The sequence below is a fragment of the Homo sapiens genome, chromosome 13, assembly GCF_000001405.40.
Source record: "Homo sapiens chromosome 13, GRCh38.p14 Primary Assembly".
In the NCBI taxonomy this organism is placed as follows: Eukaryota; Metazoa; Chordata; class Mammalia; order Primates; family Hominidae; genus Homo; species Homo sapiens.
Window position 1 is genome coordinate 92,701,013 of NC_000013.11, and position 24,903 is coordinate 92,725,915.

Genomic DNA, 24,903 nt, shown 5'->3' on the forward strand with positions numbered 1-24,903 from the left:
TCTTTGCTGTTTCCCCCAAGAGGTTTACACTTAAGACTTTGACATCATGCTAAATAATTTGACTTGTTTTATGCAATAAAATATGAGTGAATAAACCAAACTGGAATGATGATTAAACATGTGTCTAATTTATTTTTGTCATTTTAGGACACATGACAACATCTTAAATATATTAAAAAATTATTTTTAAAATTTGGATTGATGGCCATAAAAGGAAATAAGTCATACAAAGAAATAACCCTGGATCTAAAATGCTTATTATGTTGTAGTATTCTTCATGAACCATCAAATATTATGTCTCTTTCACCAGACCAACATTAAAATTTGATGTTTTGGCTCTCAATGTGTGGAAATCACCTACACACCTAAACTCACCCACGTTGTAAAATAATTTATTAGCAAGCATTTACAAAATCCAGATATTATGTGGAGTTGCATTATCTATTGAGAATTCAATTTTCAGGGATTTTTCAGGGTCTGAAATGATGCTGAATCTTGAAATATCTGCAACAAAAGGGACATACATGGCAGTGAAGGAGCCCCAACCACCTGCAGGAGTGTATCAATCCAGCTGCATATTGATATGATTAGACATAAGAGCTATTAAGTATCACAGATTTCAATCAGTGGAATAACTGTAAGAAAGGAAGAAGAAATTCTCTTTAGTGCAATATCTATAGAGGCCATTTCTTGTATATTTCACAAATCACAAGTTTCTTCATATTCCTTTATCTCATAATCCACATTCTAGCAATCTATTTTAGAATCGTTGGCGAATAGATGAAAAAGTGATAAATGACTTGGCATACCAGAGACATCTAAAAATGGAATTCATTCTGGGAAGAAATACTAGGGAAAATAAAAGCTAATTCCAGTCTCTGAACTCAGAAAAGATCAGGAAATAAAGGCCTCACATGCATTTTAAATGTCAGGGGACAGGATAGGACTTAAATGATAAGCTCTTCCAGAAACCCCTGTCATTTCAAAGATGTAGGTAACTACTTTTCTCCCCTGTTATAGGAGATGGGACGTGCACTCTCCAGAGGAACTGAATGGAAGGGAGAGTAGCTTGCAGAATACCAAGCACTGATCCTCCTGCCTCACAGTGGCATGGTCCTTAGTTACCTCCTTTGCTATATTCTGCCCTTTTATTTAAACTTTTAACAATGAAAATCCATAGAGTTTCATCCACAAGTATCTTATGTTCTCTCTACACTCACATCCTGAATGATCTTTTCCAGTGTGTGGCTTTAAATCCATATGCATGCTGATGATATAGCTCTATGTCTCTGAATTCTTGATTGGTCTATCCAAATCTTTATTCAAACATCTCTACCCAGAATGTCTAAACAGCATCTTAAATTTCCAAAGTGAATTCTTTTCTTCTCCTCTTGCCCCCTCCCCAAAGCTCTGCTTTATTCACCTTCCTTTCAAACTAAGTAATAATTCTGTTCTTCTTGATATTCTGGCCAAAAATCTTGGATGAATCCTTGAGTTACCCCATGATCCGTCAGAAGCAATAGAAATCCATAAGGAAATCCTCTCGATTCTATCTCAAAATGTTTCCAGTATCCAGTCATTTTTCATCACCTCTCCAGCTACCTCCCCAGCCCAAGCCCCCATTTTCTCTTCTGGGTTATTGCAACAGTGTCCTAATGGTTCTTATACTTCGGTCCATCATCGCCTATTCACAACAGGGCAGCCACAGTTATTTTTGTGAATGCATGTCACTTTTCTGCTCAAAACTCCAATGGCTCTCCATCTCATTCAGAGAAAAAGCTAATCGGTGTCTTGCATATGTAACTCTATGTGATCTCCACTCCCTCCTCCCTCCATGACTTCCCCCTTGTTCATTTTGCTCCAGCACCACTGGTCTCCTTGGCTCCCCCAACCCGGCATATTCCACTTCAGATATTCACACTGGCTGCTTGACCTGCCTCTAAAGCTCAGATGGGAATTGTTCAGAGAGACCTACCTATTTTAAAATTCAATTCTTCCCCCACCCTTATACTCCTCATCCCTATACCTGGCATATATATATATTTATTTATTTATTTATTTATTTATTTATTTATTTTAGTAGCACTTACCACCTTCGAATGCACTATGTAATGTAGTTATTTATTTCTACCTTCCTCCAATAATATGTAAGCTCCATGAGCACAGGGACTTTTATCAATTACCAGAACTCACAATAATACCTGACATGCAATAGGGACTGTTTTCAAAAGAATAAATTAATTAAAAATAGAGAATAGGGAAGAATATGTACATGTGTCCCTTGGGGGGCTGGGCTAAGGAATAGGAGAGCTCAATCTTTATCCTTAACTGTAGGAGATATGATAGATAATATCTAATACTAGAAATTCAGAAATAATTATATAAGTACTTTATTTAGAAATAGGGAGATAAACACCTCTCTGGAAAAGCAATATTATATCTGCCTTTTGAAAGTCTAGGGTTTTTTGTCTTTATTTGTCATATAGAACTCTTTGAATCTGTAAACCATTTATTTTAATTACCTGATAAAATTTTTCAGTATAGAAAAGGGTTAATATTATATAAATTCATTATAAATAATTTATTAAGAATTATTAAAATTGATGTATAATTTTTTTATATTTATAAGATGTTATAAGTTTATTTAAAAATTTATATTTATTCATAAAGAATATAAATATTTTAGATATATTTTATTCACAACATTGAGCAGCATGTTACTGTTAATTGGGGGAAGGGTATACAAATCTAAAATGTAGATTTTAATTAACTAGTGTTCTGTTCAGTAAGTTTAAATATAGTCCTGGGAATATCGATTTGTAAATAAAGAAATGAGCAAATCACCTAAAATTTTACACACATGGGAATTCATTTAATATTTAATAGATTTTTCAGAGCTTTAGAGATCCTAGTTTATTCTTTACCCATTATTTTGTTAAATACCGTTGTTCCATGAAAGAAATAAAATGTTTCCATCATAATTCTGGATAAAATTGTATTCTAATATTATCCTCATTGGAAATAAAATATGTTAACTTGGACTATGCAAGTAATTCTGGCTGGATGACACACTGAAGTCATTTCTCTCATTGGCGTTGGAAGTTTACATTTCTAATTACCCTTAAATTGTTGGAGTAAACCAAGAGAACAATGCTTTGCTTAAATTCCAATTTGTAAAATCTTTCCTAAGCTTTTATGTTTCAAAAATAACCCTTTCTCTCCAATGCAACAAACATAAAAATTAATAAAAAATTGCAGCCACAGTTAAGTTTGGTATTATGAAGTGCTGCTTAGACCACTGTGAATGCTGAAGTTGAATGGCAATATGAGAGAATTTCCATGAACAAATATTGACTACTAATGCAGAATAAAGTTTTCTCATTCTCCAACCAAAACAATTAAAAAGGAAAATTATGTTTATTAAAAGCCTATTTATCTCTAGGCTTTTAGCCAAACCCTTTTGAAGATGATTTTCCCAATTGGAAAATTATCAGAAGCAAAATCCTTTCAAGAATACGGGATTTCAAAATTCATCAAATTAAATTATTCTTTATATATGATTTCTTTCTTAAACTCACAAAACCACTAATATGTGAAATATTACAAATGATGACCTATTGGTTATTGTCCTTTGGTTTAAGAAAAAAGGAGGAAATCCACTTATGGAAGAATTTACCTATGCATTTTTTAATACTAAGAAGTCAATTTTGCATCATCGGGCATATGCAGATAATAAGAGTTCTGTATATTTGAATATTTTGCTTAAGAGTATATATATATACATATACACACACACATATATATACTTACATATATATACACACACACTCTTAGTGTGTAAATATATGAGTGTATATATATATACTCAATGTGTGTATATATATGAGTATATATATATACACTTATATGGATATATATATACTTGAATACATGTATGTGTCTAAATACTATGTTCTAAGTAAGATCTTTAATGATCTCGATGTGTAGGGTCTTTGTTAAGAACAGTGCTCATGGGACTGCAAATATGGATGTACTAGAATTAATATTATGGCAAAAAGTTTAGTGATTGTGTTACTCTGATTAAATTGAAAGCATGTGAAATTAAGTGACATATCTCTAGTGGTCATTTTTTTGTCTTGCCAACAAGCTCCACCTAATAATTTAAAACTAACTTCGAGGAATTTTTATTTAGCTATTCATTCAAATAAGTTTTGAATTTAGTGTAGTAAGGTAAATAATTTATTATTTCTAGTGAGGTTCTATATTCCAACTTTGATTTCTATTGACAATTCATTTTACTTCGTTTTTGTCAAGACAGGTTATTATGCAGTTTACCAAGACTAAATAGAATATGAATTTTATTCTGAGTAAGTTTTTATAGGGCAATGTCTACTACAGAAGCACCTAGCTACATATGGCTATAAAAGCAATGAAATGTAGCTATTCCATATTGAGATATACTGTAAGTGTAAAGTATACAGCAGAATTTAAAGACATAATATAGAAAAAATAAGAATGTAAAAATCTCATCAATAATTTCTTTCTATCTTGAAATAATTTTTGTAAATATTGGGTGAAATAAATACATAATGTCATAATTAATCTCAACTACATGTTTTCCTTTTTAATGTTGCTTTTCAAAAATTTAAAATTATATATGTGACTTGCATTCCTGGCTCACAATACGTCTATGTTGGAAAGCAATGTATAAAGTTATTTTTTAAACTTCTATCTTTCTCTTACTAAATAGTATTAAACAGTGAGTTTGCAAGCTTTTAAAAGGCAATAAAGGGCTGGGCACAGTGGCTCACACCTGTAGTCCCAGCAATTTGAGAAGCTGAGGCAGGAGGATTGGTTGAGCTGAGGAGTTTAATACCAGTCTGGGCAATAGAACAAGACCTCATCTCCACCAAAAAAAAAAAAAAAATTGCTTGGTGTTGTGGCATACCTGTGTAATCCCAACTACTGGGGAGGCTGAGGTGGAAGGATCCCTTGAGCCCTGGAGGTTGAGGCTGCAGTCAACCATTATTGTGCCCTGCACTCCAGCCTGTGTCACAAAAAGAAAGACTCTGTTGAGGTACCCAGCCTAGAAGTAGTCCATCAACAAATATTAATATAATAAATAATATACAATTAAATGAACAGAAAAAAATTCCTTTAATATCTCTTTTCCTTTATTGTACAATTGATTCATTTGCCATGTTTGTAGGGAACCATTTTCAAAATGTCATACGTAATCAGTTATGCATAATCCAGAAATTAAAAGTTATAATTCAAATTTTATATGAATTTAATACAAATAAGGCTTAACTTCATTTTCATTCTACCTTATGTGTGATTATATCTAGAATGCTATTAAAATATATTGGTCTGATCATCTGGCTGGAAGTATGTTGTTGACTGGCAAATGGGAGAATTTTCCACCAGAAAAAAAGTTTCCATAAGATAGCACTAGTGTTGGAAAATGAAGGTGAAACAAAGCCTTCAAAGAAGTATAGAGCCAGCTCCCACAGTTAGATTCTACTTTGTCCAAATATGATTTTTCGTCTTACTGCCCTTAGCCATCAAATGGTCTTTTGACAGCCCTTACTCTGCCTGCTCCTGTATATTCTAGTCAAGAGAGTTGAAATGTCCTCTACTTCCAGGATGATATTAGCCTCCCCTGGTAATGGAACACTCTAATATTTTCCGCTAACTAACTAACTTATCAAGACAAATTGAAGCATTCACATAGCCTATTACAAATCTATTTAATTGAACTGTACATACTTAAAGTGATTTGTGTTTCAATGTTACAGAATGAATGTTTGTGTCCCTGCAAAATTCGTATGTTGAAATCCTAATTCCTAATGTGATGTTTCTTAGAGGTGGAGCCCTTCACAGGTAATTAGGATTAGATGTAATTCTAGGGGTGGGGCTCCCATGATTGGGATAATGCCCTTATAAAAAGATGAAAATATGTGAGATCTCTTTCTCTGCATGTACACACCAAGGAAAGGCCATGAGAAGGACACGGCCAGGAAGAAGACCCTCACCAATAACCTGACCATGGTGGCACCCTAATCTTGGATTTCCAGCCTCCAGAACTATATGACATACATGGCTGCTGTTCAAGCAGCCTCCAGAACTATATGACATACATGGCTGCTGTTCAAGCCACCCAGTCTATTTTATTTCATTATAGCAAACTGAATTGACCCATATGTACATTCAGTCTCCTTATTCTACTACCATGCTACAAATTCATATTTGTACATTCCATTGACCAAAGCCCAAGACACAAATAGAAGTCTTTTAGAAGTGGATAATGAAAGCTGAACCTAACAGAGAAGAAATGCACCCTGACTGTCCACCTGTGCCTCTCGTATGATGCAGACTCACCTTTTGAGCCTATACTTATTAGTCAGAATCTATTTCCTCTGCTTGTTGTTTTGTTTCCAACGGCCCTTGACTAGCCTGATGGCCAACAGGACAAAAGTAGCAAGAAAGGCTCACTGAATAGCACAGATTTGCTATGTATCAGTGTAGGAAAAAGCATGTTACTAAGTTTAATTGAGAAACTCAGCCAGTGTTCCCATGTAATCATAGTGAGAGAAACACAAATGAAAGCTCTTCTTTAAAAAAAAAAATGCATGTGTACTAAGAGCTAGACTCCCTTTTCCAAGGAAAGACCAGCCAGGTTGTAATGAAAACACCTTTAATCCTTCTCAGCTTAGGCTACAATCCTACAAAATATACAGTATATCTGCTTGGAAAAAAATAAACTTTTTGTAGCCAGAGGCAAGATCTCATATAAGTTGCAAAGTGATTGGAAGGCTTTTGGCTTGGTTTGGATTTCTGGTCCTTTACCTGAGTTGTTAATTGAATTAGATTTTTGGCAGAGACCATGAGCAAAGAAATGACAATCAGATCCCAGATCTCAAAACTTCATGGGCAAAGATGACCAATTATTGCAAGGAGACACCACCTCAGACTCTAATTAGTTATGGAAGTTTGTGAGCAAGGTAAGGAATAGAGCATTTCCAAAGATGGAATGAAGGCATTATCATGAACATGGTCATGTTCAGTACATATATTTTAAGTGTTTATTTCTGTAGAATCAGCATGAGAAACATATTCTCATGGTTGTTTTATTTTTCAACTAACTTCAAATCCAAAGATATAAGACAAATTTTGAAGAACTTGACCATTAGGTGAATCAAGAGTAAACTATTTGCAATCCATAGCTTTTTCCAAGTCAATAGAAATTTTCCCATGATACTTGGATTTATCAGTGCTCATAGTTTTTGGTACAGCAGTGTACTTTAAGTTATACTCAAAGGTTCCAATGATGATCAGAATTCTTCTCCTTTTTATTTGCCTCTTCTCAACTACATACCCTCTTACTGCCTCAAATAGAGTAACAACTGTACTAGGGTGCTTAAAATATATTTTATGATAGTAATCTTTGGCAATAGAAGTGATTCTCTATTCTACTGCAGATATAAACACCATAAGAAAAGACATACTTCAATGGATAAGTCAAAAGTCTTTGACTTTTCCTGATAGTGTTTATAAGAAATACAGCTCTAATTTATCAGTAATGCTAAATGTGTTATAAAGAAAAGTCAGAGAGTGAAAGTTTGATAGTAGGGTTAGAAAAAGTTGTGGAGCAATACGTAAGGTTGGGGAGAAGAGATGTTATTAGAGACAATACGTAAGGTTGGGGAGAAGAGATGTTATTAGAGAAAGGTCAGCAAGTGCAAAAGTGTTCTTAAAATACTCACTATAAAATATGTTACAATTATAGAAATATGAAACTGTGATTTACATGTGCCTACTAGCAGCATCTAGCTGGAAACCGCCTTTTTTTTTTTTTTTTTTTTTTTTTTTTTTTTTTTTTTTTTTTGAGGCAGAGTCTAGCTCTGTTGCCCAGGCTGGAGTGCAGTGGCCTGATGTTGGCTCACTGCAACCTCCACCTACCACATTCAAGTGATTCTCCTGCCTCAGCCTCTCAAGTAGCTGGGCCTGCAGGCACCCACCACCATCTGGCTAATTTTTTTTGTTGTTGTTGAGACAGTGTTTCGCTCTTGTTGCCCAGGCTAGAGTGCAATGGCACGATCTCAGCTCACTGCAACCTCCGCCTCCAGGTTCAAGTAATTCTCCTGCCTCAGCCTCCCAAGTAGCTGGGATTATAGGTGTGCGCAACCACGCCCAGCTAATTTTTTTTTTTTTTTTTGGATTTTTAGTAGAGATAGGGTTTCACCATGTTGACCACGCTGGTCTTGAACTCCTGACCTCAAGTGATCCGCCCACCTCAACTTCTCAAAGTCCTGGAAGTACAGGCCACTGTGCATGGCCGAAACCCCCTCTTAAGATAATAGGTCACATCACCATAGCATTAATGTCCACACACAACTCAGTATATTACTCCACTTTGCTTCAGTAACAATCTTACATATCGATGATTTATAGGAAGCATATTTGTTTTACTCACGTTTCATGTTAATGCTTCTGAGTCAGCAAGTGCTGCTCTACCTCCTGTGTCTTCTCATTACTCCTGTGTCTTCTCCTTAGGCGACCTTCAGTGGCAGAGAGAAAAGAATGACAGGAGGGGAGACATGGGTGCCACTTAGCACTTCTGCTCAAAATTAGCACTCTGTCACTTTTCCTCACACTCTACTGGCCCACATCAACAACATGGCCAAGCCAGATAATGGGGTGGAAATGTATACTCCACCTTCAAGGAGGTACTTGAAGTCACATAGCTATGGGCAGAGATGTATACTTCTTTCTAAAGGAAGTTATCCAACAATTGTAAAACATAATGCAATTTGCCAAAGTGAGTAGTTCAAGTGCAGGAAGAATAAGCCCTAGAGAGTTTGGTCTTGGCCATAGCTCCTCTTCTTTTAAGTGGATGCCATAGCTTAAGTGTAGTTTGTAGAAAAAGATTTCTAAGAAGACTGAATTTGTTCAAAATGGATATAATCTCAGTGGCTCTCCAACAATGCTAGGTCTTTCTGGTAAATTCTACTCATAGCCACTGGCAGAAATACCACTGTGCAGAAAAAGACACCAGAGAAATAAGTTTCTAGCCTGTACATAAACTTCCAGAATAACTAACTCCAAACGTTTTAATTGTCATAATAGTCAAATCATACATAATCCTATCATAGTTATATAGGGCACAGCAGTGTTAATTTACAATAATTATCTCTGTAAATGATGTTAAATATCAGATATATCTTAAAGGAAGTTGTGAAAATCCAACAGATTGGTATTACTAATTCAAAAGAAGACAAAAAATAAATGTTGAACTCACTAATGTCATTGAAACAGCCTCCAGATAATTTACCATCCTAATGTGACAGAGAAGAAGAGTAATTTAGAGGAATGGAAATAAAAGAAAAAAAGTTTTTAAAAAGTACATGATGTTATCAGAATTGCAAAAAATCTGTTGAATAATAATTGTGTACAGTTTTAAATGTAAAACATAGTAGAGAATAGAACAAGTTACAGCAAAGAGAAAAGTCTAAATATAATTCTATTCATTTGCATTTTAAATTACAAATTGATGGTCTGCATTGGATGTTAAGCAATTAGGGAAGGATCTTCAAATTTTAGCATGCATGGAAGCCACTTGGGGACCTCGCTTAACACACTTATTTTCCAGAATTCCCCAGGCTCTGGCCCAGAGATGCTAATTCAGCAAACCTATTGGCATCTAGTTATATAGGTTTTAATGAGCTCTTGGGAGAGACTGATAAAAGTGGTCAGGGGATCAAGCTTTGTGAAACAATGAACTATAAAAGCAAATAAGAAATCCTTTAAATATTCTTTAAACACCTAATGATATCCTAGGAAGAATTATTTTTATGTGACAATGATGAATTTGTTGAAAATATAAGACTGAATAATGACCCAATTTGTACAAGTTTATTTTATTCTGTTGTTTTGAAATTTCTAAAAATAGTCTGCATTATAAAAGTTACTAATTATGCTGTAGTTAAAAGTGTGTAATGTACTGAAAAAATATAAATGGAGTTTGGTGCACTATTCGTACAGTCCCACTTCTTAACAGTGATTTTATATTGAATGTTAAATGCATTTGAGTTATACAGAAGATGTGCATTAAAAAATAAGAAAATGCTCTGACATAAAAAAGACATAGGTCAAATCATAAGAGTTGCAAGTAAAAATTCTCTGTCAATAATGTCACCATTACATGCATAACATTTTGCCACATGACCCTACTTATTAAAAATTTAGGTTAATATGGTTATACAATCCACAACACTTTGAATTAACATGAATGAATTTGAAATTTCACCAAAATACTTGCCTCAACTTGTACACTGTCATGGCTGGTTGGTACACTAAAGTGTTGTTTGCATTATGGTAGAAAATATTTATCATTTAAATATACCCATTTATCATTTAAATATACCCACTGTAAACTTTTATTTTTATTTCCTAGTTGATTGTTGAAGAGACAAACCTATAATTACAGTTGGAGCATTTAATATCTCTGTCTCACTAATCGATAGAACAACTAGAAAGAAAATCAAGGTTACAGAGAAAATATCACCATCAATCAACTGTCTCTAATCTACTTTATAGGCCATTCCAAAACAGTAGAACACATATTATTTTCAAGAACCCTCAGAATTATTTCAAGGAGAGTTTAAATCTTTGACCATAAAAAACATCTCAACAAACTTATAATTAAAATCATATGGAACATGTTCTCAAACCACAATGGCATCAAATTAGAAATCAATAGCAGAAAGAGTAAATGGAAATCTCCAACTCAAAAACACACTTCTAATGAACCATGAGTTAAACAGCAAGTTTCAAGAGAAAAAAATAGTAATTACATTGAACTTAATGAAGATACAACATATCAAAATTGTGCCAAACTGCTTTAGTTGAAAGAGAAATTTGTAATACTAAATGCTGTGTTAGCAGAGAGGGAAATTCAAATCTATAAGCTCCTACCTTAAAAACCTGGAAAAAGAAGAGCCAAATAAACCCCTAACAAGCAGAAGAAAAGAAAAAGTATAAAGCAGAAATTAATGAAATTTAAAACAAAAAATAAATTTTAAAATAGTTCTTGTAAAGATGAAAAAAAAATGATAAACCACTAGTGAGACTGACAAAAAAGATAAAAGAGACAAAAATTGTCAATATCAGGAATCAAATGGGACATTGTTACAGTGATTCTGTCTAGCACTGTAGTCATCAAAATATAATAAAGGAATACAAGGAACAATTTTACTCCCAAAAATTTGACGACATAGATGAAACAGGCCTATTTCTCAAAAGCACAAACCATTACATCTAACCCAAAATGATAAGAAAATTTTATATAAATTAAAATAAATTTCATTTAAAAATCAACCCAGGATGGTGACAAACTTAAATGTCAAAGGTAAAACCATAAGGACAAGACAGTAAAAACAAACAAACAAACAAAAAAAAAACGGCAAAATCATATAGGAAAAGCCAGTAAAGACTTTGGCACCTACACAATGAGTTGTTAGTCTTTATACCAAAACCACGATCCATAAAATGAAACTGATAAATTGTATTTCATCAAAATTGAAACTACTCTGTGAAGGACTCTGTTAAGAGGATAAAAAGGCAAACTATAGACTGGATGAAAATATTTGCAAACCACATGATACAGACTAAATTCGTTGTGCCTCCTCCAGATTTACATGTTGAAGTCCTAACCCAGAGTACCTTAGAGTGTGGCTGATTTTTTGAGATAGGGCCTTTAAAGAGGTAATTAAGGGAAAATGAAGTCATATGAATGGGCGTCAATCCAATATGACTGGTGTCCTTATAAGAAATTAGTAAACACACACTTACACATGGAAGACCATGTGAAGACAGACGGAGAAGACAGCTGTCCACAAACCAGGGAGAAAGGCCCTCAAAGGAAACCAACCCTGCCAATACCTTGATTTTAGATTTCCAGCCTCCAAACCTGTGAGAATTTTTTTTAAATTTACTCCACCCAGGCTATGATACTTTGTTATGGCTGCCCAAGCAAACTAATACACCTTACATCCAATATGACTGGTGTCCTTATAAGAAGAAATTAGTAAACACACACTTACACACACATGGAAGACCATGTGAAGAAAAAGGGAGAAGACAGTTATCCACAGACCAAGGAGTAGTGGACTAGTATCAAGAATATATAAAGAACTCGAAAGAAAAATCCAGTGAGATAATGGGCAAAAGACTGAAGGGACATTTCACTGAAGAAGATATATCAATGGCAAACAAGGACATAAAAAATGTTCAATCTGGCCGGGTGTGGTGGCTCACGCTTGTAATCCCAGCACTTTGGGAGGCTGAGGCGGGTGGATCACGAGGTCAGGAGATCGAGACCATCCTGGCTAACACAGTGAAACTCCGGCTCTACTAAAAAAAAAAAAAAAAAAATACAAAAAAAATTAGCTGGGTGTGGTGGCGGGCACCTGTAGTCCCAGCTACTCAGGAGGCTGAGGCAGGAGAATGGCGTGAACCCAGGAGGCAGAGCTTGCAGTGAGCTGAGATCGTGCCAATACACTCCAGCTTGGACGACAGAGCGAGACTCCAATCTCAAAAAAAAAAAAAAAAGTTCAATATTTTTAACTCTTAGGAAAATCCAAGTTAAAACAATGAGATGAGATGACACTACATACCTATCAGAATGCCTAAAATAAGAAAATAAGAAATGTCTTATTTCTTATTGAGACCTATAAGAAATGTATTATTTCTTATTTAGACCTATAAGAATGTCTAAAACAAGAAAAAGTGACAACACAAAATATTGACAGAGAAAATGGATCACTCATATGTTGCTGTTGGGACTTACAAAATGTTACACCCGTTCTGGTAAGGAGTGTAGCAGTTTCCTACAGAAATAGCTGTAACAGACTTTGTTCCCATAGTTCACCAAGCAATTCCAGAATTGCAATGCATGTTCTTCAAAATAGTGATCCTCTTTAACAAATGACTTCTGTCTTCCCAGTTGTATTTTTCATCTGCACATTTCTTGTTGGTGAACTGAATTTATTCCTGTTGTTTGTCACGTAATACCTAGAAAGGTGATTTAAATACTACTCTGGCTCTAGAGGGGAAGAAAATAGCTTACCAGCTACATTTGATAGGATGTCATGGAAGTCAACAAATATAGGAACTTCCTGTGTTATTATGTTACATATGATCTTTCCCTCCCATCTGCTGCTCAAAATTTGCTATTCAATCACTTAATGTATATTCCTGCATTAGATAAGAATACAGATTTTATGGCATAAATCAGAGCAGTGGGAACTGTTGATAGATCATCAGAAGCTATTTTTCATGTGACTATGAACAAAGAATTCTTCCCAGATAACCATGGATCTTTGGCTAAAAAGCTCCCACATAATTTTGGATTGTTTACTTTTTCTTCTTTTCTGTTTTGTTTCATTAGTTGTATAAAGAACATTGCCATCAACAACCAGGAGAAAACAACACAGAAACATAGAAAATTTCACAACTGACAAAGCTTTTCTACCTTCATTATCCATTTCAATCGTATGCCAACCATGTTAGATATCATCGTTCTCTCTTTATAGATGTAAAAGAGGTGAGCCTTGGAGATATTGTGGCATATATGAAAATATTTCAATTGTGATAGTAAGAGGCAGTTTTTTAGAGCCATATTCAAATGTGAACATTTTTTTCCACATCCCATATAACAACTGTTTTCCTAAAAAGCACTTGGCCAAACAACATAATAAAAAGAATTGCTTAGGCCAGGCACGGTGGCTCACACCTGTAATCCCAGTACTTTGGGAGGCCGAGGCAAGTGGATCACGAGTTCAGGAGTTCAAGACCAGCCTGGCCAAGGTGATGAAACCCAGTCTCTATTAAAAATACAAAAATTAGCCAGGCATGGTGGTGGGTGCCTGGAATCCCAGCTATTCGGAAGGCTGAAGCAGAGAATTGCTTGAACCTGGGAGGCAGAAGTTGCAGTGAGCCAAGATCACGCCACTGCACTCCAGCCTGGACGACAGAGCAAGACTTCCTCTCAAAAGAAAAAAAGAATTGGTTAAGCAACATAGTAACTTTATTTATTCCATGGTTGAGTACTCAGATTTTGTACGTATACATGTTGCAACGAAAAATATAATTAAACATTATTTTCAAAACAGTTGAATAGAGTGATCAGCACAGGTTCCTGAAAAAAGACTTGACTCGTCTTTTCTATGAGAGTGTGTGCATGTTTCTTGTTCAGATGAGACCCTAGAAGTACTATTTATAGACTGTAAGATTGAAAAACTCTACATTTTGAACATTTCTTAATAACTAATTCCACAAGTCTATTTATGAATCAGAATTTCCTCCTATTTCTCCCTTTTCCAGCGTGAGCTCTAAATTCAAGAAATAGTGAGCTGGAAGAAGGCTTAGGAAGGGAAATAATTCTAAATGATTAAGTAAACAAAATAATTTGATCAGTATAACTCTAGTCTCCTGACAGCAAATAAAACAGAGAATTAACAATTAACAGGAACATATGATGACTTCATTCATTATCAGTAATAATGCTATCTGGACTTCATGAGGGGCTGGACTTGGATGTTTATACTTACTTTGGAATTTTATCTCATAAATTTTCTCAACTCTGGAGAATTTATTTAACTCTTGCTGTACTATACCAAGGATTAACCACTGTATACAGTAGAGAAAATACAGATATCCTGAAACAGAGAAGATTCTAGAGTTTACATGGAAGCAGGAAAGAAATGACAATTATGGAAAATTTATCCCACGGTGATGGACAAGGGCTCATACAACAAACATGTTTTCTGTCTATGTCTCCAGTTCTCACCTACAATCTAAACTTGTGTGTGTGTGCAGAATGCTTAGAGAATTAATCTAGTTTTTGAAGATTCTGATCCAACAGACTATATGCAAAACATGGTGATTTTAACATGTAGTTTACTTATTATTTCTGAAATGCAGCACATATTTTTGCCTAAGTTTTTCTTTTTCCTTATTGTCAATGATGAAGAAATATCCATGATATAAGACTCAGGATTGGAGACTTTGTCTCTCACCACTGAGATCAGTGAACGTGGCAAGAGTCAATCATTCCATCTCTATTATAAAACCCCAAATATAAGATTTTATTCTTCATACAATCTGGTGCTAATAATAACAGTAACAAAAATCATGAATATTCTTTCATGTTTATAAGAAGATCCCTCCATTTTCTGCTACTTCCTGCTTCTTCATTTATATGCCAGCAACACAGAGTTACCCATATTTCTCTGAATACCTCTCATGCTTACAATTGATTTCTTAATTTTGCTGTCTGAATATCCTTCCTCTGCTTGTTTGCCTTGCTACTTTCCTCTCATCTTTCAAGATTCAGCTCCAGGTTGACCACATCTAGAAAGTCTTCCCACCGAGGCTCCTCAGATACTGTTTTTATCCCCTCTCTTCATCTCTTTTTCATCCTTCATTGTAATGGCCATTTGTTTTTCTGTCTCCCTATTAGACTGCCAGCTCCCTGGGTAAGGAATTCAGATCTCAGCATAGCTCTATCCTGGTGCTTTATAGTATCTGGCACAATGTATGTCTACAAAACATTTTTTATAAATTAATGTATGGCTAATATTTTATTTTAAAAGGTAGAGCTTATAAAGTAGGAGCATGATATTTTATCAATCTTTCAGGACAATCTTTAGAAGTGGAAAGAGTAGCAAAAAAATACTCCAAGATGAACGTCTCAGACTAGTTTGTGTTGGAACCTGGACTTGAAACAAATTCTATGCTGAAACAAACAACAGCAACCAATAAGCTTTCTTTAGTACCACTGAATATATAGGGAATGTGGACATGAAATTAAAATATACTATTTTATTTATTCCTCATGACAGCCCTACAGAGGGCAGCATAGATAACATTATCCCTATTTTCCAAGTGAGGATACTGAAGTTTGGAGAGTTTATGTGACTTTCCCGAAGTGGCAGGCACAATAAACAGAGAGGCTAAGAGTCAAGCCCTGTTCGAATTCACTCCAAATCTGTGCTGTGAAGGGCAAGACCGTAAAACTTCTCAAACCGTATTCTTCTCGGTGTGGGTAGGATTACTTTTCCAAAATATTATTACATTCATTGTTTCTATTGTTCAAACTCTGCAAATACACATTTGGTAACATAGCAGTGCACATTCAAAGAGATGGTATCAATGTGTTATCTTCCATTGACAAGAATCCAGGCCTCCAGCAAGAGGGAAAAAGGAGATCCTGGTTATGTGAATTGCCAGCTACAGCCCTTGCCTCAGAGTTAGGTTCTAGCAAGTCTACACCTCTGCCGCCAGACATATACCATGAATATAATATTTACTTTAACTTTTTGGGGTGTTATATTTTCTAAACTCAATTTGACATTTAATTATATTCAGATATTTAAAGAAACAATTTTATTCTGAGTTTATCAAAAACAAACTCTCAGATCCAGAATTAATTTGGGGAGTTTTCACTCTGGAGAGAAGCTGTTGTTACATTTGAATCCTCTACACTTTCTCCTTCTTCTCCTACCACACATCAAATGTGTATTTTCTTCAGAAGTCATCAGCTTCATTAAACATAATGTAATTTGGCTGTTTGAAATTCACAATGTATTAAAAAGTCAAGAGCAAAACCTTTGAGAAATAATTTAATGCTGAAAATTATCTTTTTCTCTTTTTCCTTCAATTCATACAAACATTAAAGGTTTGTTACAGGTAATTTGGAGACATCATAGTGAATGTGATTTCATTTATTGAAATAATGTTGTCTTCCAACACACAGAATGGGAAAAAATATTTGCCAACTATCCATCTGACAAACGCTTAATAAGCAGAAAATATAAGGAACTCAACTCAATAGGAAAAAATCTAATAATCTGATTAAAAATGGGCAAAAGGTCTAAGAAAGACATACCAATGGCAGAGAAATGCAAATTAAAACTACAATGAGATATCATCTCACCCCAGTTAAAATGGCTTTTATTGAAAGGGCAAACAATAAAAAATGCTGATAAGGATGTGGAGAAAAGGGAACGCTTGTACATTGCTAGTGGGAATGTAAATTAGCACAGCTACTATGGAAAACAGTATGGAAGTTTCTCATAAAACTAAAAATAGAACTATCATATGATCCAGCAATCCCACTGCTAGGTATATACCCAAAAGAAAGGAAATCAGCATATCAAATGTAGATCTGTACTACCATGTTTAGTGCAGCACTATTCACAATAGCCATGATTTGGAAGCAACAGAAGTGTTCATCGGCAAACTAATGGATAAAGAAAATGCGGTACACAATGAAGTATAATACCATTCAGCCACAAAAAGAATGAGATCCTGTCATTTGAAACATTATGGATGGAACTGGAGGATATTATGTGAAGTGAAATAGGCCAGGCATAGAAAAACAAACTTCACGTTTTCACCCATTTGTGAGAGCAAAAAAATTAAACAATCGAACTCATGGAGATAGGGAATAGAATGATGGTTATCAGGGGCTGGGAAGGGTAGTGGGGCAAAGGGGTGGAGTCAGGATTATGAATAGGTACAAAAATATAGCTAGAATGAATAAAATCTCCTATTTGCTATCACAACAACAGGGTGACTACAGTCAACGGGGTTAAAGACCAGCCTGGCCAACATGGTGAAACCCCATCTCTACTAAAATACAAAACTTAGCCGGGCATGATTGCAGGTGCCTGTAATCCCAGATACTCCGGAGGCTGAGGTGGGAGAATTGCTTGAGCCTTGAGCAATTGCCTCTGCCTTGAGGCAGAGGTTGCAGTGAACCCAGATTGCACCACTGCACTCCAGCTTGGGCAACAGAGTGAGACTCCGTCCCCCCACAAAAAAAAAAAAAAAAATTGTTAAAAAATGAAAGAATAAGAATGTTTGTAACACAAAGGAAGGATAAATGCTTGAGGTGATACCCCCCATTTAACCTGATGTGATTATTATGCATTATAAGACTATCAAAATATCACATGTACCCCATAAATATATGTACCTACTAGGTACTCATAAAAATTAAATATTAAAAAAGATAATAAAAGACTAATAAAAAATGTTGTCTCTAATGACTATAAAATGTATTTGAAATACATAGATGATTCCTATAGCCCCCCCCCACATAATGATTTTGTACCAAGAGGGTAAAGTATAAGCTTATCTGATTCCCAGGTTATTTCTCAATATCTTACATCTAGCTTTTACAAATGACACATAAGAAAATGAGGAGTTTTGTTCTAATAGGAAAAAAAATACTATTTAACCATGTAATAAGACCCCTGACTTTTAAGCTAAAAGAAATCAAAAATTTTTTAAAGTAATATTTCCCATTATGGGCGTTTTATATTTTTCTCATTGTGATTTCATCACTAGGCATTGAATAATTGCTTGTAACATTCTATTCCTTCAGCATTTATTTCATCCTGCTGCCTCACTTCCCATTAAAGGATCTAAACATAAATTGTTATACATCATAGCTTTTCAAAACTATCAGAAACCTATTTTAAACATTTTACTGACCTAAAAATAGATTTATTTTCCAGAGGTTCTAACAATTCCAAAATCCTAACAAGTATATAGAGAGTAAGATATTATAATCCCAAATTTGCCCAAGTCACTCATCTTTTTCATTGTGATAAAGAAGCAGTTTTGGGGTAGCAATGAAAGCCCAATTTGCCATAAATCAACGTCACATATTGTCTTCAAGCTTCAGAAAAATTAAAGCCTTAGTAAGTTACACACCTTCTGTTCAAACACTTATAGTTTGCTATAGATACTAGCACTAGTACAGGGATTTATAAATAAAGCTATAGATTAGTGATCAAAGCAGAAATAATGGGAAAATGAATACCTTCCCTTTCCCTCTTCTTGTTGTTAAGTTTCTCTTCTTCACAGACCACAGGAAGACACTGAAACTGCTGTTACCCATACCAAAGAGTGCTTGTTATTCTGTTCTTGAAGCTGCCCCAGCAACCAGTGACCTGTTTAAGAACCTGTGTTGACAAGCTCCACAGGTGTCCTGGCTTAATGTTGCTCTGGAGTGCTTTTAATAGATAAGCATACTCTATCTACTCTGGCAAAGAAAAATAGGGTGGGCAATGAAACAACCATTTCTCTAACCTGAGCTGAATACTTAACATAAGTCAAGGGTAAAGAAAACATTCTGCTTTTACAGTGTCCTGAGATGCCATTGAAGGGCTGCCCTTTAGTTTATATATTTATGTATCATCCATATAGGCAGAAACCAGTTCATTCAATGAAACTAGACTGAGATAATAAAGGTTTAAAAAGGTTTTGAAAACATAAGCAGAGGCATTTGGAAATATTATAAAAGTAATTCAATAATAGTTCTTACTTTAAGAGTTAAACCTTCCAAATATTTGATTTTTCATGGGCCCATGTTTAATTATTCATAGATACAATTTTTGGTTAATTTTGGTTAGTTATACTAAAATAATTTCATAAATTAAAGTAATGATTTTATAATCTCGGGATTTTGTTTCTGTGTAATTGTCAGAAATAAAAATATAAGAGTATAATAAGGAAAAAATTGATGTTACATAACGTACATAAATGCAAATATATTCTGAAATTAAATCCACTGCTACTTTTCTTATAAAGATTTACTTATTCTTATGACAAATGTGGTCATGGTCATAGAAAAAAAGACTACATAGGGAAAATTTTGAAATGTGAAAGATAAACTTCGCTGTTCTACTTACAGAAGATGGCAAACTTGTGCAAAGGGTGTGTATTTTCCTTTACTAAAAGTTGTTTTTGCAATAAAATCAAGAATCATCTACCCAGGGGACCATTCAAACTTGTTAATTCAAAACGTAGGAAAAGATGTGGGCCTGGGTTTGCATACCTATCCACAGAATGGGCCTGATTTGTGGCAATTTCCTTTCTGGATATCTGAAGTGTTTTCTCTCTCTGTATATCTATAGCACACTCTATCTCCAGAGTACTGTGGAGATGGAGGACTCTGATAAAGGTATAGTAAGAATCCAGCAAAGGTCACTGGATAGATATCAGAACAATTCCATCCATTATACAGAGAACTGGATACACAGGGAACTGAATGAAATGTCAAAAATCCTTCCTGGTGCACAGGGAAGATGACCACAAGCTAGTCTTACAGTATCTATATGATGTCCCAGAAACTGTACACCCGGCAGCTGCTAGACCACAAGATAAGGGTTCCAAATGCTACCAATAAACAAGCAGAATTTGGACTCCAGAATATAATGTAAGACAATGAGGAAAAAGGTAATGTCTATTTCTAGGATTAAGGGATGAGCGTATCCTAATGAAATAGGTAAAATAAAACAAAATTAAAAACCCTCCAATTTCTAAAAACTGGTATCCAAAATCCATTTATTCTCTAAGAAAAGCATGATCATTATTGCAGGCTAAATGAAACAAGGAAGAGAACTGCCAGTTTCAAAACACCAATGCCAATGACCTGAAAACTCACCAGGATCCCTTGCTGTCAGACAGTCACTGTTCACGGCAACCTTTGTTGAAGTGCTCAGAAAAGAAGTTTTTTGCAAACCACTTTGAACTGCTAGGCTTAGAAAGGAACTAACTTTTGTGTAAGTGATAGACTAGAGTCTTTAGGAACAAAAGGGGTGTGTATAATTTGGAATTAGAATCATCTGGGGAAAATACTTTCCAGTGTGATGGATTAAGCAAATGTCTTATTCACACATGCCATTAAGTCACTGTGTTATTGAAGATAACAGAGGGGGGTTCATAAAAGTCACCTCTTCCAGGTTTAATGAGGCAAGGAAAAAACCTGTATGTCCTATTTAGGGGTCATTTCCATTATAAAACTGTCATTAAGTTCCAGTTCAAAGTTAAATTTGGGAAATAGCTATTTAGATAACACAGATGGGCACCTAGCTGAATCTTTGATTAGAAACCCTTAAACAAACTGGCACCCTATTGTCTTTTCTTTTCATTTTATTCATATCAAGGGAACTTTTGCCTATATATCTCAGTATAAAATAGACTTTACCTCAACCTTTCTTCCAGTTCAAAATAACAATGCATTCTTCCAGGAAATTTTCAAAAGTCTTGTTCCCAATAACTTGGGGTTATTTCAGGATGTAAGCTCATTTCAAACAACTTGTCCTAAAAGGAAAAACAAATATGATTATAAAGTGCATGTAGTTTGTGTATGGTTTTAAAGGGAAAATACTTTGCCTTCATCGGATAAGGTGCAACTAGCCTTCATAGTATTTTCTGTCCCATTTACTTATATAGACACTATCAAGAGAAAATCAAGCTTTTGCTAGGACATTAAGGAGTTTCTAACCTTTCTTTTCAGTCATGAGCCCCTTGGTAATCCAATAAAATATATGGAACCTATTGGCAGAAAAAGGGACTTAGCCACTTAACCACAGAATAAAGCATAAATTTCCAGAGAACTTTATGAAATCCAAGGGCCCCACTTAAGAGTTCTCAAACATGAGAGGAAGACATTCCATCAGTCTTTCTTCTGGACTGGAAACCCTTAAACAGACTGCCACCTATTATCTTTTTTAAAAATTTTATTCTTTGCAAGACAAGTTTTGGATTTTGAAAGAAAGGGTAAAAAGCTTAATGGGATATAGGCAGGTCCTTATTATAACAACATTATTGATGTGTTTTGAAAGAAAAAAGGAATAGAACTCCAGAGTGTGATTGGGTAATTGTGCAAAGAAAAGTCAGGTTGTTTAGGAAAGTCTAAACTCAAGAATGTCTTTTGTATTTTTATATACAAAAAAATGATAAAATCATAAACTAAATTTTAGATTACTTGCCATTTTGAAGTTGTCCTTTAGCAAAAACTGTGAAAGTTACCACTCAATGATTCATATTTCACCATTGTGAATTTTAAACTTTGAGTTTATACAAACAGATTAAGCCAAAAAATTATGTACTTAGATGATATATGAAATACTAGAAATGATGTGGATTTTGAAATAGACAGAACCGGGTTTAAATCCCACTCATTAACATTTGTTAATAATATAGCCTTGAGGATATCTGAGGCTTAATTTCCTCTTCTTTGAAAAATGAGATAATACCTACCTTGAGAGATGACAGGAGAATTCGATATAGCTATATGAAACATCCAATCCTGGTACTCAGAACTGAAATTAAATTTTCATAATTCAAAAAATTATGGTGAGATTCATATTAAGTGTTATTATTTGCAGGAATGAAATACACCTACACTTATTCACTGGACCAAATAGAGATTTCTTAACCCTCCGAATAACACTTTCTTCTTTGTATTCGTTAAAAAAACCCAGAGTCAGAGCTGGTAAGGAGTCGAATGCACTTCATTAATTTTTGCCACTGAAAATCATGATTTGTACTTAGAGTTCACCATTATTACAGCCATATTGGTAAAATGGCCATGTTTGACTTTAACCAGATCAAGCTTGTTTAGCTTTATAAATTCACTGAAATACCACTACACCCCTTCTCATCCACCTCATCCCTCCCCTTAATAAGTTCTATGGGAAAGGGGCTTTGGAGAAAACTTGTACTTAATTTCACAATATATCCTTATAGTAAAAAGTCTCCATATTTATTTTTCCCCAACTTCAACTCAGTCAGGATGCTGTGAACCCAGAAGGTAACAGATAATGCACCTTTGCTTGCCTTGTGAAATTTTCATTTTAGGTTAGTTTCTTGAAGAAACTACTTGAGGAAGTTACTGCCTATTTCTAGGACTAAAAAATATTAGGTCTTGAGGTCAGAATGCTGTGTATCTTCTGTGAAATATAATTCTATCATATGCTGAAAATCTATTATAGTATGATAGAAAAACAATAGAGTACTTTGGAAAAAATCTACCCCTTTCTGTTACTCTTTAACTGGTAAGACTAGCTTAATTGAACTGTTTTTTGCGTTTCAGAAATAGAGTTGGAGGTTAAGAAAATATAAGTTTAAAAACTCCAAATATGATCATTTTTTGCTCTTTTAATGTTTATGTTGTATAAGTTTGCATTTTAATGTTTTTGTTGTATAAGTTTAAATTTCATCTTATGGAAAAACATAAGTTAAATTATCCTTACTGCTTTCATAGAAGTTGAGTTAAAGTCTAAAATTATTCTAGGTCAAAAAATAAATTAAGGCTACTTCTTCAGTATAAGATATTTTTCTCAAAAATAAGTTAGGTTTTTATTTTTAAGCAAGCTATAAGAGAATTTATCATTTTTAGCAAAATAAATAAGTAAAAAAACTCTTAGAAAAGATATCAGGCACATAAATGTGTTAATAAAAACAAACAAAACACTTACCTTCTTTATCATGTTAGAACATTATACTTTCCATACATGTTAGAATGCATATTTTTAATATTTTGAGAAACCTTCATACTGTGTTCCATAGCCTATTTTACAAGCCTAAATGTCTATCAACAGATAAATGAATAAAGAAAATGTGGTATATGTAGAAAATGGAGTATTATTCAGCCTTACAAAAGAAAGAAATTTTGTCATTTGCAACAACATACATGAACCTAGATAGAGGACACATGGTAAGTGAGATAAGCCAGACACAGAAGAATAAATACTGTATTATTCCACTTACGTGAGGTATCTAAAATTGTCAAACTCATAGAAGCAGAAAATTGAACAGTATTTGCAGGGACTGAGGGGAAGGGAAAATGGGGAATTGTTCAATGAGCATAAAGTTTCAGATATGCAAAATGAGCAAGTTATAGAGAAGTGCTGTACAAGATGGTGACTATAATTAACAATGCTCTACTGCTCATTTAAAGATTTCTTAAAAGGGTAGATTTGTTAAGTGTCCTACACATACACACACACACACACACACACACACACACACACACAAGAAAGAAAAAACAAGAGAGTAGCTAAGATCTATAAGCACAGGGCTGTGTCACCAGTCAGACCATGCCTCAACAAATGAAATATTAAAAAGCTTCATATGTAAGACTATGGAGTAGACGTTAAGTCATACTTTGGATAGAGTTTCATAAAGGTCTTCCCCTTAATAAATTTAACCATGTTATCTACCGTTTTCTCATCTTCCTAAATTTGGTATTTAGATACTGAATTTTAGAAGATATATCTTCTTTGGCTCTGAGTCCTTTTTATTTTTCATATCCCAAGCATTTATGGCAGCCACATTCGTGCCTATTTCCTGGAATTGTGATTGTCTCATAAATTTGCTACTATGCTGTCTAATGACATAAACTGTCTAAATATGAGTAATTTGTTTAAGAGTACCCTCCGTTATATATCTGTTCTCCTAATCCTTTTCTACATTTAAATGATAGGCGGCTGAGAAACACACAATTCACTTTCAGAATTGAGTGGGCTAAACAACATTTATGACTTGAAAAAAACACTTTCTTCTTTAAAACAAAGAAGGCATATTAGTTTGGCAATTGCAACTCTAGAATCAGTTTATGAGTATGTAAGGAACTACTCTAAGAATTGACTAGAATATACCTAGCCAAACTTTATCTTTAGAAATTATCCCTCAGTGAAATTGGAACTATTTTTAACATTTTTTTAACTGTTAATAATCCAAAATGCAACTATATAAACAATGAAAATACAAAAAAATGAAAATAAAAATCACACGTTCAAATTCTCATGTTAAATCTTAACAAAAAATTGGGCATTACTTTGAACTAGTTGGGAATGATCAAAATAGAGCTCTTCACTGGAGTTATTAAACATAGAATTTGAGAAAAATTTAGATCTAAATTGGATGAAATTGTTATTGACCTTTAATCACTTACTCCTAATATAACCTGAAAGTAGAACATGACTTGCTATTGAATTTCTTTTTCAAATACTGGTATATTAATGATGCCCTCTGACT

General features: G+C 34.3%; 1 protein-coding gene and 1 long non-coding RNA gene across 5 annotated transcripts in view; one reads left to right on the forward strand and one right to left on the reverse strand.

Moving 5' to 3' along the window:
• Positions 1-24,903, forward strand: part of GPC5 (glypican 5) — a 1,468,617-nt gene that overhangs the window by 1,302,392 nt on the left and 141,322 nt on the right. The window lies entirely within an intron of this gene.
• GPC5-AS1 (GPC5 antisense RNA 1) lies at positions 377-20,602 on the reverse strand. Of its 3 annotated transcripts, none has more exons than NR_046520.1 (4): positions 20,522-20,602; positions 8,477-8,561; positions 4,949-5,047; positions 377-504 (listed from the first exon to the last, which is right to left on the reverse strand). It is a non-coding gene; the product is annotated as a GPC5 antisense RNA 1 (long non-coding RNA). The 3 variants fall into 3 exon arrangements; NR_049776.1 differs by lacking the exon at positions 20,522-20,602 and adding an exon at positions 18,896-18,943 and having other exon boundaries at positions 377-635; NR_049775.1 differs by lacking the exon at positions 20,522-20,602 and adding an exon at positions 18,896-18,962 and having other exon boundaries at positions 378-504.